General features: G+C 42.2%; 1 protein-coding gene across 1 annotated transcript; it reads left to right on the forward strand.

Annotated features, from left to right (window-relative positions):
* Positions 5–7,270, forward strand: UBE2L5 (ubiquitin conjugating enzyme E2 L5). The gene is made up of 4 exons (NM_001355247.2): positions 5–189; positions 2,320–2,413; positions 4,237–4,290; positions 4,873–7,270. Exon 4 carries the CDS (start codon positions 5,503–5,505, stop codon positions 5,965–5,967), a length of 465 nt encoding a protein of 154 aa, NP_001342176.1. The 5' UTR covers positions 5–189; positions 2,320–2,413; positions 4,237–4,290; positions 4,873–5,502; the 3' UTR covers positions 5,968–7,270.
* The last annotated feature ends 7,990 nt before the right edge of the window (positions 7,271–15,260 follow it).

Here is a 15,260-nt window from a genome sequence, read left to right on the forward strand (position 1 = left end):
GGGAACTCCGCTCCGTGAGGCTTCCGGGAGAGGGAAAGCTGTTCTCCTTTGATGCTCTTTGGTTTTACAGTGGAAAACTACAATTAAAAAAACATAGCCGTGAAAATAAATGAGATTAGAACCTGCTGGCTTCACTTCCTGGAGGCTTTTTGTTGTGTCTTGAAACTAGGATCTTTGCGGGTCATCCCTGTAAGTGCCTTTTTAATCCATTCACAAGGATGCTTGTGAGTCTCTGCTGCGTTTAACATCGGTCAGCGGGTGACATTGCATTAATTTGCTCTGGTGATGATTTCTGCTTTGCTAGGTTAGCATTGCCTCGCTTGGTGACACGTAATAAATGCACACACGTTGCAAAAATTAGGACACAGAGGGAGAGGCACCTTTTTAACTCTGTCAAAAAATAGATAAGAAAATCTCTTCTAAAGCGGTGCCAATATCGGGAAAATGGTTTATTATTTAGACTGTGGAGATATTAAAAACCACAACAAAACCTAATTAATTATTCCATAGCCATTCTACATAAAGTAACATGATAAAATCATTAAATAATAGCAATGACAAAACTCAGTTTGTTGTTCTAAACTTACTGCTTTAGAATGTTGTTTATCATGTCATGTATAGTAAATCACATATCTAGTTTTTGTGCATGTGTGTCAGAGACAGACAGACATGGATAACTTCTGCTCTGAAACACAGCAGGTTTAAGGCTTCTATACAGAGAAGTTCCATCTGGAAAATCTCCAAATACAATTACAATAAAGCAGATACAATATGGAGTGTTATTAAACTGGAGGTTCTTCCCCCGGAGAGTTTACTCTATTTTCCTTTAAAATAAACTAGGGCCGGGTGTGGTGGCTCAACGCCTGTAATCCCAGCACTTTGGGAGGCTGAGGCAGGAGGATCATTTGAGTCCAGGAGTTCAAGAGCAGCCTGGGCAACATAGTGAAACTCCATCTCTAAAAAAATACAGTATTAGCTGGGTGTGGTGGTGCACACCTGTAGTTCCAGCTATTAGGGAGGCTGAGACAGGAGGATGGCATGAGCCTGGGAAGTGAAGGTTGTAGTGAGCCAAGATAGCACCACTGCACTACAGCCAGACCTTGTCTCAAAAAAATAAAATAAACTGAAAGGCCGGGGAATCATATATTTAAAATTGGCCAGTGCTCATTAAAGATCACTCAAAAACCAGAATGAGGCATCCTTACGGTGGGAAGGTAGGGTAATAGAAAGATGCAATTCCAGTTCACAAAAATTTGGCCTTCAGGCCACATCTGATACACTTGCATAAAATTGAAAGACGATGCAATGCATGTTTTCCTAAATTAAACCAGAAATAGTGGTAGGGATATACCTTCATGCCAGCAGATGCACAGACAGGTTCTGATGGAAACCGTTTTCACTAAACCATGTCCCAGTTACTTTATGTAGCTTAACGCCCTGGGATTTGTATGTTCCCAACCAGAGGGTGCATGCTGGAGCTCCATGGGCCTGAACTTGTCTTCCAGACCTGTTTGGCCTGCGGGGTGTAGTTTAAACTTTTGAATTAGTTATGGATATTTTGAAATTGTTAAGTTTCACATGGAAAGCTGGACTTTGGGCTTCTCTGAAACATGAGAAGCCCGGGCCACCCTGGGTGGGACTGTTGGCTGGAGCCAACAGCAGTGTTAGGTGTGAGGGTGACAGTCTGTACCTCTCCAGCTGTCTTCCCCCACCTCTGCCTTCACTCTGTTAAGGGACTTGTCCACTCTGCACATGTGAATTTTCTAAAAATTAGTCCTGGTTCAGACAAACCACTGCACCCAGTGCTTGGTCAACGTATTAGGATTATTAAAGTCACAGATGACTTTGACACTCTAGGATCTAGAATTATGTAATGTTAAAACCTCAAATCTCAATTTCTGGAGATTCCTTTAGGCAGATTCAACCAACCAGAGGCTGACTGTACATTTCCTGAAGGCAGGCACAACATGATGTCCTAGTTTCCTGGATTCTGCGTTCCCCTAAGGTGCCGTGAGATGTAGGAGAGTGTGTGGTCTCTGAAATTAAGCTCAGGAATTTGGATCCCCAATAGTTACTTGCCATTCAGTGTAAAGCAAGTTATATACTATCCCTGAGCTTGTTTCCTCAAACACAGATAGTTATAACCAAACTACCTCTGTGGATTATTGCATATTAAATTACTATATATATGTCTGCTCAGAGTTTACAGCAAATTTAAAACTAAATAAATAAAATTACTATATGTGAAAGCATCTTGAACAGTACCTGGCCCACAGTGACCACCCAAAATAGTTGTTTCTCTTGCTCTTGGGATTTCAGTTTCTGAGTGCAGTCAATCATAGCTCACTGCAGCCTCGACCTCCTGGGCTCAGTGATCTTCCCGGTCCAGCCTCCTGAGCAGCTAGGATTACAGGTGTGTACTACCATGCCCACCTAATTTTTAATGTTTTATTTGTAGACACCAGGTCTGTGTTGCCCAGGCTGGTCTTGAACTCCTGGCCTCAAGCAATCCCCCTACCTCAGCCTCCCAAAGTGCTAGGATTACAGGCATGAGCCACAGTGCCCAGTTCTTGGATACCTGCGTTACATTCCAGTTTCTGTTCTCTCCCTCAGGATTTTGATTCAAGAGGTCCCAATGGGGCCTGAGGGTTAACATTTTAACATTTAATCCTCAGGGAGGAGTTCTAGACCACACTCTGACAGTGCCCATCCTGGATTGGCCACAGTTGTTCAAGTAGATGAGACAGAGAACAAAGAAATAGGCCCTGGTTGATTCCCTGGCTGGTCCTGGCCAGCATGCTGATCCTGCAGCTCCATTGGATGCACTGCCTGGGTCCCAATTGTCTACTTATCACTTCATGGGCATTTATTGAGCACCTACTAGAAACACAGTGAGGCAGGCACTTGGCATTCAAAGGTAGGTGAAGTGGTTCCTGTTCGCAGGGAGATTGGGAATGGAATACAAAGCCCAGGGCCTGGCATTGGGCTCCAGTTCCTGCCTTTCCTACCACTCACCATTCAATACCATCTCTAATGCCTTCTTCCCAAAGACAGTCGCTCCTCCCCACCCAGCGCCATGCATTCTCATGCCATATTACTGAGTCTTGGATAATAGTTACTTTTGCATTACATGCAGACACTTACCATAGTACCGTTTAGGTGTTCATCACATACTTGTGGGACTTAATTTCCTTGGACAAATCTGTCTTCCGAAACTTCAGCTTATGTTTATTCACTCATCAAATATTTATAGGCCGGGCGTGGTGTTTCACGCCTGTAATCCCAGCACTTTGGGAGTCCAAGGCAGGCAGATCACCTGAGGTCAGGATTTTAAGACCAGCCTGGCCAACATGGTGAAACCCCGTCACTGCTAAAAATAACAAAAATTTGCCGGGCGTGCCTGTAATCCCAGCTACTCGGGAGGCCGAGGCAGGAGAATCGCTTGAACCTGGGAGGCGGATGTTGCAGTGAGCCAAGATTGGGCCATTGCACTCCAGCCTGGGTGATAAGAATGAAACTCCATCTCAAAAAAAGAAAAAAGGCCAGGCACAGTGGCTCACGCTTGTAATCCCAGCACTTTGGGAGGCCAAGGCAGGTGGATCAACTGAGGTCAGGAGTTTGAGACCAGCCTGGCCAACACGGCGAAACCCCATCTCTACTAAAAATACAAAAATTAGCCAGGCGTGGTGGTGGGTGCCTGTAATCCCAATTACTCGGGAGGCTAAGGCAGGAGAATCGCTTGAAACTGGGAGGCGGAGGTTGCAGTGAGCTGAGATCACACCACTGAACTCTAGCTTGGGAGACAAGAGTGAAACTCCTCCTCAAAAAAAACAAAAAAGAAAAAGTATGGATGCGAGTCGGGGCTTACACAAAAGTGAGGGGTCAGGAGGGGGAATGTATGGAGCACCTCCTATAAGTCAGACAGTGGCCCAGAAGCTGGGGATACAGCAACGGACAAAATTACAATCCCTGCCCACATGGAGGTTTTAGTTGGGGAAGACAGGTCATATAAACATACTATTTTGAATCGTACTTGTTCAATTGTATTTTGTACCCTGACATCTGCTGCAATCTTATTTGCTCTCTGAATCCTACCTTATTTTCCTGCCAGATGGACTTCTTTCCTAGTCCTGGTCTACACAGCCTATGCTCAGGTGGTGATTTTATTATCTATAGCTAGAGAGCTCTCTGTGTATACTGTTACATTTTGATTCAAAATGTCTGTGTTTCTTCCAGGCTTTGATCAAAATCAACCATTCCTTTCCAAAATTCAGAAGCTTCCACAACAAGGTAACTTTTAAAAATGCAACCTGTATATTCTTTTCTTACATAATATTGCAGAGAAGTCTTATTGAAGCCAAGTGACTGCTGTCCCATTTTTTTGTTGTTCTAATACTGCTTTTCTTTTTAAGCTCCTTAGCTCTTATGCCAAATACAAAAATAACTCTGACTACTTTGCATTCATATTCCATAACTTATTTTGAGTAGTGCCATTAATAATTTATTGTAAAAGATAATCTTACCTTTAAATATGTGATTTTAAAATAAGTTTTGCTGCCTTCTTACTGAGCTTTTCATGTCGTTCTGGGTATACTTGTTCTACAGAAATTCAAGTCCAATTATATAATTAAAATGACAGGTTTCAATATATTAAATATTCTACAAAGTGAGTTATATCTGAAAATTCAGGTAAGCAAGTATAATTTACATTTGTACTCTAAAGTGATAAGTTTTTGTGAAAATGCCCCAAAATATATTATTTCTATCCCTTTGCATGAGTGTATTTGTATATTTCACCTCTATTCATTATCTTCTTTGGCTCTCAGTTGATACATTTTATCATTTCCCATGTCTGAATTACTTCCTGTTAAGAACATGAACTGGATTAATAGAAATTTCTCAGAAAAAAATATTCAAACACCAAGGATCTCACTTTGTGCTGTGAAATGCAAGATGAGCAATCTGATCTGGACATACCAGCCTTCAGTCAGGCAACAGGTGAATATGCAGGTAGAATTATAATGTGTAAAGCCGGGTGCAGTGGCTCACGTCTATAATCTGAGCACTTTGGGAGACTAACGCGGGCGGATCACTTGAGGTCAGGAGTTCGAGACTAGCCAGGCCAACATGGTGAAACCTCGTCTCTACTAAAAATACAAAAAAAAGTTAGCTGTGCATGGTGGCACGTGCCTGTAATCACAGCCACTTGGGAGGCCGAGGCGAGAGGATGGCTTGAACCCGGGAGGCTGAGGTTGCAATGAGCAGAGATGGTGCCACTGCACTCCAGCCTGGGCAACAGAGAGAGACTCTGGCTAAAAAAAAAAAAAATTATAATGTATAGGATTGTGGATGATCACTCTAACCAACCAGTGGGCAAGTTGCTTTGCTCAGCGTAAGTTCAAACTGCCACATCAGAACGTTATTTGAGTGTATACATACACAACCATTAAAAGTGGCCGTTACCACGATGCATTCTGGGAAAGAAGCAGCACCAAATCCAAGATGGCGGCCAGCAGGAGGCTGATGAAGGAGCTTGAAGAAATCCGCAAATGTGGAATGGAAAACTTCCGTAACATCCAGGTTGATGAAGCTAATTTATTGACTTGGCAAGGGCTTATTGTTCCTGACAACCCTCCGTATAATAAGGGGGCCTTCAGAATCGAAATCAACTTTCCAGCAGAGTACCCATTCAAACCACCGAGGATCACATTTAAAACAAAGATCTATCACCCGAACATCGACGAAAAGGGGCAGGTCTGTCTGCCAGTAATTAGTGCTGAAAACTGGAAGCCAGCAACCAAAACCGACCAAGTAATCCAGTCCCTCATAGCACTGGTGAATGACCCGCAGCCCGAGCACCCGCTTCGGGCTGACCTAGCTGAAGAATACTCTAACGACCGTAAAAAATTCTGTAAGAATGCTGAAGAGTTTACAAAGAAATATGGGGAAAAGCGACCTGTGGACTAAAATGTGCCACGATTGGTTCCAGCAAGTGTGAGCAGAGACCCCGTGCAGTACATTCAGACACCCCGCAAAGCAGGACTCTGTGGAAATTGATACGTGCCACCGTCTGGCGTTCGCTTGCAGCAGTTACTAACTTTCTACAGTTTTCTTAATTAAAAGTGGTCTAGGTAACCTGTAAAGAAAGGATTAAAAATTTAAGATGTTCTTAAAAAAAAAAAAAGTGGCCATTAATAGACGGAACTATACACTGGACTAGTTGTTGTTTTAAAAACATAAAATCTGGCTACCCTAACGGGATAAGAGTTCAGACATCAGGATGTTGACACAGTGTCCTACCAGAACCCAGGGTTTACTTAGAGAACATAAAAGAAAAGAGATTGTATGCTATATTCCTTGCTTTTTTTTTTTTTTTTTTGGTGGATGTAGATAGGAGATGGGATGAGAGTGGCCACAGGAATTCGATGAGTCGTAGGAAATCCATTTTTGTTTTAATTGATGTTTCCCGTTGAACTGACATTTAGATTGAAATACCTGCGAGCCGGGTTTGGTGGCTCACACCTGTAATGCTATCACTTTGGGAAGCTGAGGTGGGTGGATCACCTGAGGTCAGGAGTTCGAGACCAGCCTGGCCAACGTGGTGAAACCCCATCTCTATTAAAAATAAAATAAATAAACAAATAAAAGTAGCCGGGCGTGGTGGCAGACTCCTGTAATCCCAGCTACTCAGGAGGCTGAGGCAGGATAATCGTTTGGACCCTGGAGGCAGAGGCTGCAGTGAGCCCAGATTGCGCCATTGCACTCCAGCCTGGGCAACAAGAGCAAAACTCTGTCCCCCCCCCACAAAAAAAAATTGATTGAAATACCTGGAATTCACACCATAATTGGGGTGTCTTTAGGCTGAAATGGAGACAACAGAAGGTGAGGTGGCTTGGACTCAGGTGGCATTGGTAAAGGAAATGAAACGCATGCAAATTTCACAGACAAAAGAGTAGCTTTGCCACCTCTCATTTTGGCTGGGCTGCTCTGAGGTGCTGCATCTTTTATAGTGTCTAGGCTCTCATCCTTAATGACATTTTCATATTCTCCATCCCCCATCCCCCACCGCCTCTCCAGTAAGGACTTTTTGACAAGCTGCACTTCCCTGCTTTAGTAATTGGTGATAAGATTTGTCCTGTAGAACATATACATAGAGGATTGTTCACTCTCCTCCTTTTATGAAATAATTTTTAGAAATTGAGCTGTTAAAGGTTGTGTTTGCACATGTTTTTTGGAACAAGAACTTTAATTAAAGGATCAAAAAGCCCAAGCTCTTGCTTTTGAATAACTGAAGCCAGTGTCTATAATTTCTTGTATCTAAAATCTGTAGAAACTAGTTGTGTGATTTCAGGGGTGCATGGGGCCCCTTGGGTGTCTGAACAGAAGGGGGTGGGAGGCAGAGCCGCACCTCTGCACTCTTGCTCTGCTGGTGTAGTGGGCAGCTGCCCACCCCCACCCCACCCTGCACTGCAGGCTCTGGAGTCAGCAGATTAAGCATTTTATAAATTATATTCTAAGTATATATTTTAAACTTGTCAAAAAGATAAATCTAGCTTATTTTACCTTTAACTTGTAAAGAAAGTTTGCCTTCTTGAGTTCTCTTTGTCATGGGCAGTAGGAGTAGCTCGCCTGAGTATCATCAGTGAAGGGAAACCCACACATCTTGGTGAGCAACGAGAAATCACCATGTTAAGATTCCAGGGATTTTCTTCTCTGGTCATTGTTGTAGCCAGTGTCTTCATGGAAGACCTATTTTCGTTTCATTACCATATTTGATGCCTAAGCATTTAATAATCAGTTTATGACTACTAAACTTTTGAGGATCTTAGAATTTAACTGGCTCTAGAAAGTGGCAGAGAAACCTACACATGATTCCATGTCCTAACCCATAAGACGTGAGTGATACATGCTGAGGAGGGAAGGTGAGTCACTCCCCCTGTTAGTCTGAGGGAATGTGTATGAGTCATTTTGTGCTTCTTTTTTTCTTTATTTTATTTTTAGCATAATAAAGTACCAAACCAAGAGTTGTCTGGTTTTTGTTTTGGAGAGTGAGGGCTGCTGGTGAGGGTAGATTTCTGAACTACCCCAGAGAACGTAGTCAGGAACCTCCCAGCAGGATGAGAGAGGAGCCATCAGCTGGAAGGAGAGGGGAAAGGATCAGGAGAGGTAAGGGAACTAGGATTGCTTAACATGCAAAGGGTAAAGTAGAACCAAAGAGAATTTTTGTGCCCCAACAGGAGCAGGAAAATCTGAGAGGATGCCAACCAACTTCTAAGATTATTTTATTGATTCAGAGAAAATGCAAATTTCAACCACAGCTAAACAATAAAAAGGGAAACTTTTCATTTAGAACCAATAGTTATCATGAGTTGATTAAAAACATGAGCTGGCCTAAAGGTGGTATCCTAAACTTCTGGAGTGTGGAAAGTGATTGTTAAATTGCCTTAATTCTCTACCTAACATTTTTCTACAATGCAAGCATCTAAGAAAAGACTGAAAAAGTGGTGAACCAGATATTTGAAAAGTCAGCTTTCACCCAAATATGAGAAAATTTTTAAATGTCAGGTGGGCAATGATGTTGGTCTTGCTCCTCCAGGGTGTTTGTCTTGCAGGGACACTGTTGGGGTGCAGGTGGTCATGAGGACACCGACCTGCTCTATGAAATCAATTTCCAAAGCTTGAGCTCACTTCCAAAAACACTTCTCAAGCATGATGATAACCAACTATTGATTTATCCTGAGGGAATAATCTTTCTACAAGCTTTTATGTTCACTGTGTTGGCTTGTGGTAGCTAGTGAAAACTGGGTGATTTCCTCCCTTAATCTAGAGGTTGACCATTTAGAAACACAACAGAAGAGACTTCCAAAATGAATAAATATCTCCTGCTGTTTGAAAAGTGAACCTTCTAACAGATGAAGAAACTGCCCAGGCAGGTATTCTGAGTCACTGTGTGATTCTGGACATGCCACTCAACCTTTCTCCAGGCTTAAGTGAAGTTAATGTTTTTCCTCCCACTGACTCACGATGGTGCCTTGGGGACAGAAGAAATGAATGTTAGAAAGTCCAGTGCAAATTTCTAAAATGCCACAGGAAAAATCAGGTAAAAAACACTTTTTTGTGAAATGTAGCTGCTGTGTAAAAGACACGTGGCACACAGCCTTCCTGGCTCAGGGACAAAAATATTCATCTTTCTATAATTCAAAACCAAAAGTGGAACAACACCATGGAAGGTTTTAAGAAGGGAAGCAGAGTGTCCTTTTTAGACCAATGAGGTGAGTCATGTTCTTTTCTGATGTCTCTGGGAAAGATGTGATCAACATAAAGATGTTTTATTGCCAATGCCTAGGTAAAGCAATCTCAGTATTCATGTCTCAGAAACATGTCTTCAGATGCAGTTTCACCTCTCTGAAAATGAGCTCTCCTATGGGAAGGTTTGGTTACTAGTATAATTACAGGCTTCTGAGGGTGCCCTGGCTGTGTCTTTTGTCCATTCCCAACTGTTGCTCCTTCTTTAAAATATACATATGTCATGCCTCTGCCTGAACTCTTGACAGTACTGACTAGAATGCCTTTTCCTACTAGTGGACCACATGCATAAAATAGTTTCACAACACATGGTTGTTGGAAGGGCCATCTCTGATGCAGCATATATACCAGCACTTAATGTTAGCATCTCTCACCACTTAGTGAACAAATTTAGTCATAAGTCAGGCTGGGATTCTAATTTTTTTTATTATTTATTTATTTATTTTACAGGCAGGGTCTCTGTTGCCCAGGCTGGAGTGCAGTGCAGTGGCATGATCATAGCTCACTGTAACCTTGAGCTCCTGGGTTCAAATGATCCTTCTGCCTCAGCCTCCAGAGTAGCTGGGACTACAGGCATGTGCCACCATGCTGGCTAATTTCTTTTAAACATTTTTTGTAGAGACAGGGTCTCACTATATTGTCCAGGCTGGTCTCGAACTTCGGCCTCAAGTGATCATCCCGCCTCAGCCTCCCAAAGCACTAGGATTACAGATGTGAGCCACCGTGCCTACCCCAGGCTGGGATTTTAAAGACAGGCAGGCAAGGGCCTTTGTTAGAAGGAAATTGTCCAAAATTTCAGCAAGCAAACATGTGTTTTTTCTTGATGAGGACACCATACAACACACATCTCCACTAGTGCAAGACACTTGGAAATGGGCTTTACCAGCGATATGTCCAGAAGAGGTGAGGCGCTAAGACAGCTAGTTTACTGGCCTCAGTATTTCTCTTGCTCACTAGCAAGAGAAATAGGTCAACATTTCAGAATCACATAGAATTCTGAGGAATCCATGAGGTACAGAGACTCATGCCCACGTCACCCTCTAAAGTTCAAAGGATATGCCTTTACACATGGGAAGATGCTATGCAGTGACTATTAGAAAAGGTTAGAAAAATTTAAAAGGGTTTTTTGTTTTCTGTTTTTTTGTTTGGTTGATTTTTCGGACTCACCAAAGTAGCCACTAGACCATCAAGTTTGAGAGACACAACTTCATAAAACACAAATGTCTGTAATCCCAGCACGTTGAGAAGCCAAGGTGGATGGATCACTTAAGCATAGGAGTTTAAGACCAGCCTGGGCAACATAGTGAGACCCTCATCTCTACAAAAAATACAAAAAAAAGTTTGCCAACTATGGTGGCACATGCCTGTGATCCCAGCTGCTTGAGAGGCTGAAGTGAGAAGATCACTTGAGCCTGGGAGGTTGAGACTGCAGCAAACTATGATTATGCCACTATATCCCAGCCTGGATGACAGAGCAAGACCTTATCTCAAAAAAGAAAAAAAAAGAAGAAAAAAGAAAACACAAATGCCTGTTTCTGTATTAAGATACTCTTCTATTACCATGAAAAGCTTGGAGGGGCCAGGTGCGGTGGCTCATGCCTGTAATCCCAGCACTTTGGAAGTCTGAGGCGGGTGGATCACGAGGTCAGTAGTTCAAGACCAGCCTGGCCAAGATGGTGAAACCCCGTCTCTACTAAAAATACAATAATTAGCTGGACTCGGTGGTAGGCACCTGTAGTCCCAGCTACTCAGGAGGCTGAGGCAGGAGAATTACTTGAACTGGGGAGGCAGAGGTTGCAGTGAACCGAGATCGCGCCACTGCACTCCAGCCTGGGCGACAGAGCAAGACTCTGTCTCAAAAAAAAAAAAAAAAAAAAAAAAAAACAAAAAAGAAAAGCTTGGAGAACCAGAAATTTAATTTGTTTACTCTTTCATTAAGTTGTCCAACAAACTTTATTGAACACGTCCAATGACCAAAAGCTGCACTTGGGTCTGGAGATACAACTGTAAAGGGGACCTACACCCTGCCTTTGAGGAGCCTCCAACCCTTACCCCATTTTAGGCTGTGCATATGTAGTTTCAGGCTAATTTGCACAACTGGACCACCTATTTAGAACATGAGAATCAGAGACAAGTGGTTTCTTGAACTCATCAATAACCAATTATCACTAAAAAGTCTATGTTTAGATATGAGAAAGTATTCCGTGACCTATTTCATAAACCTCATTTAAAAATATACTTGGTGGCCAGGTGCAGTGGCTTACACCTGTAATCCCAGCACTTTGGGAGGCTGAGGTGGGAGGACCACTTGAGGCCAGGAGTTCAAGACCAGCCTGGACAAGATAGCAAAACCCCATCTCTAAAAAAACTAAAAAAAAAGTTAGTGAGGCATAGTGGTGCATGCCTATAGTCCCAGCTACTCAGGAGGCTAAGGCAGGAGCATCACTGGAGCCCAGGAATTTGAGGCTGCATTGAACTATGATGGCACCACTGCACTCCAGCCTAGGCAAAAGAGAAAGACCTTGTCTCTGGAAAAAAACAAAACCAAAAACCACCACCACCACCACCAACACCACCACCACCACCACCACCAACAAAAAACTCAGAAAACAAAAGTAAAACAATGGACTTTTTAATCCTAAAGTGAGGTAATATACCTGAACACCCATATATTTTTGGATATCCACAACAGCAAAGCAGAAAAGGTGAGGTGAAGGAGAGATGCTTGTGGGGGCCCCTTCTTTTCCATCATTTTAGAATCAACTTGTTTTCTCTGTATTTGAGAAGTATTTGAGGCCATCACCCCCAAGAGGCCAATCCAACTGTAATGGAGTCACACAGACTCACATGATCAGATAGACTTGGCTTGGTTGTGTTTTTTGGGTTTTTTTTGGTTGTTGTTGTTGTTTGTTTGTTTGTTTTTCAAGACTGAGTCTCGCTCTGTCACCCAGGCTGGAGTGCACTGGCACGATCTTGGCTCACTGCAACCTCCTCCTCCCAAGTTCAAGTGATTCTCTTGCCTCAGCCTCCTGAGTAGCTGGGATTACAGGCGTGAGCCACCATGCCGGCTAATTTTTCTATTTTTAGTAGAGATGGGGTTTCGCCATGTTGGCCAGGCTGGTCTCAATCTCCTGACCTCAAGTGATCCACCTGCCTCGGCCTCCCAAAGTGCCGAGATTACAGACGTGAGTCACCGTACCTGGCCAGACTTAGTTTTTATAGAAGGGTAAAAAGCCTTACAGATAATGTGGCTGGCCAGAGCCTGGATATGGAGGCAAAAGTCCAGATTTGGAATGACCCATCTGACATGTCCCCTTACTTGTTCGGGCCCCAGGTTACTCACTTGTGAAATGAAGGCATTATGCTGGATGATGTCTGAAGTCCCTTCGCACATTCCACTATTACGTGGTAACAGTGGCATTCTTAGCATGTTTTGTGACTTTAATTCATTGATTAGATATTTCATCAATGACCAAAGTTGCTTCAATGCTAAGATTAGAACAATTTTGGTGAGGCTTCAAAGTTAATAATTAATGCAAATAAATGAGCCATTTCACACCTCTGCTAGTATGCTCTCCTTTCCAACTCTCTGTACAGAAGAACAAATAATAGCAAACAGCAATGAATTAATTCACAAGCAAAGATTACTTCTGGCAATTAGGAAAGACAGACTCTTTTCTGTTTATATATACCTATTCTGTACATAAATATGTGTTCACATTTATAAATATATATATGTACCATTTTTCATTAAATACAAATATTCCCAAATAATATGATGATGCTAACACCTATAATATTTGTTGAGCACATACTGTGTGCCAAGCACTGTTGAGGACTTCATAGACATTATCAATGATTTCTTATTTTCATTTATTTCTTCTATTTCCAGTCTTAATGCCACAAATGATTTCTCAAAATATGGAGATTTGCAAAGTTTATTGTAAACATTTTATCTAGCAGGCACAACTGTTAACAGAGTGTAAGGAAATGACAATTCTTAAAAAATACTCTCAATTTATCTGAACTTTTGATCTGAACTCTCAATTTATCTGAACTTTCTGGAAAGGTATTCATTTGAGCATGTTTATCTGGGGACAGGGATTTTGTCTCCACCAAAGCTTTCCTCTTTTGGACAGAGAGAAAAAATCTTGGAGATTATGGAGGACGGGAGACATTGCCATCCCTAGAGAGATCAGAAAATTTAAAAAATCTCAGTCTGCCTCAAGGAAAATTTCCTGGCAATGAGGTTTATATTTGATAAGTTGTGATATTTGAACCACATGCTCTGGAAACAGTTATAAAATAAATTTTCACATAACTGAGACAATTTAGGTGTGGTTCTTTCAATCTGGACCGTATCAGAATTCATACTGGAACTGAAATATCTCAGAACCACTAATTTCCATCTCCTTTGTTAATGCAGAACTCCCAGAGCAGTGATGAAACACTTAATCGCATAAGGGATGTGTTTCATATTATGATGATTATAAGGCTACATGTTTTCCCAAAATGTACAAATACAATGTGGCATGTTTTCTTTACTCATATGCCTGCATATGGAAAACAGAAATAAAAATTGTTTACTTTGGTAACAACAAATGCCATTCTCTTGCTTAGTAGCTTTTGATATCCTTCAGCCAAACATGCAGCCTCTCAAAATACCAGAATCTGGCCGGGCACGGTGGCTCACGCCTGTAGTACCAGCACTTTGGGAAGCCAAGGTGGGCCAATCACCTGAGGTCAGGAGTTCCAGACCAGCCTGGCCAACATGCTGAAACCCCGTCTCTTCTAAAAAAATACAAAAATTAGCCAGGCATGGTGGTGGGCACCTGTAATCCCAGCTGCTTGGGAGGCTGAGGCCGGAGAATGGCTTGAACCTGGGAAGCAGAGGTTGCAGTGAGTGGAGATTGCACCACTGCACTCCAGCCTGGGTAAGTGAATGAGACTTCATCTCAAAAAAAAAAAAAGATACCAGAATCTGTATTAAATACAATGAGTTTCTCACTCCCAGCCTCCTTTTCCTCTTTCTTTCCTTTTTTAATGACTCCATTGTTAAATAAGAAATGGATAATGTCAGCTTTCCCAATGGCACTAGTAGTATTTGTTGCTGTTTCATAAGTAATTTAGGAAAGCAACTGAAGCATAAAGGAGCTAATTATTTATTACTGTCTTCTCCTCTACTGGGTATCACTACAATCTTTAATATTAATGTCTTTCTTACAAGTGTAGGGTTGGAAAATTGAAGTCAGTGAGTTTCATTGATAAATTAAGCAGCTATGAAATGTTATCAGGTGACTAGCTGATCCTGATTTTATCATCAAACTAAAACAGTGCTTTGCTTAATGCATGCATTATCTAAATATTTAATCTAAGTGTGTGTTGATGTATTCTTAATTGTCATAGCACCTTCTTTAAGTGAATCTCTTTTAGGGTCATAAGCAGTTTGAGCTGGTTCTCATAAGTCAAGTGCAAGCTTACCAATCAACAGTTCGACAACCAGTGTGGTACGGACAAAACAGACTGAGCCGCGACAGAACAGCAGCCTGAGTGATGATAGCTGTGCTCAGAAGCCAGCCTAGCCAGAGCTGGCAATTCAGGCAATTCACAGGATAAATCAAAAGCCACAGTCTGGGAGCCTAGAATCAGCAGAGAGGTGTCTGATGTGGATATTGTCGGAAAGCGTGTGCATTGTACAGCCAGCGTATGTCAGAAGAAACATGGTTCTAGTACGTTGCTTTTCAAACTCTACAGGGTGTAGGCAGAGATCATTAAGCAAACAGATGTCAGAAAGGACAGAAAGCTCCTTACCTGGTTCAGCTACCACCTCTCTGTAAAGAAGAGTGCATAAAACCCACACAGATAACCCACCTCTACCCACCCATAGAACATCCTCACTCTAGGAGCATGAAAATACCTAGAGGTTTTCAAGTCTCTCGACGGCCGTGTGAAAA

Source organism: Homo sapiens, chromosome 13, assembly GCF_000001405.40.
Source record: "Homo sapiens chromosome 13, GRCh38.p14 Primary Assembly".
In the NCBI taxonomy this organism is placed as follows: domain Eukaryota; kingdom Metazoa; phylum Chordata; class Mammalia; order Primates; family Hominidae; genus Homo; species Homo sapiens.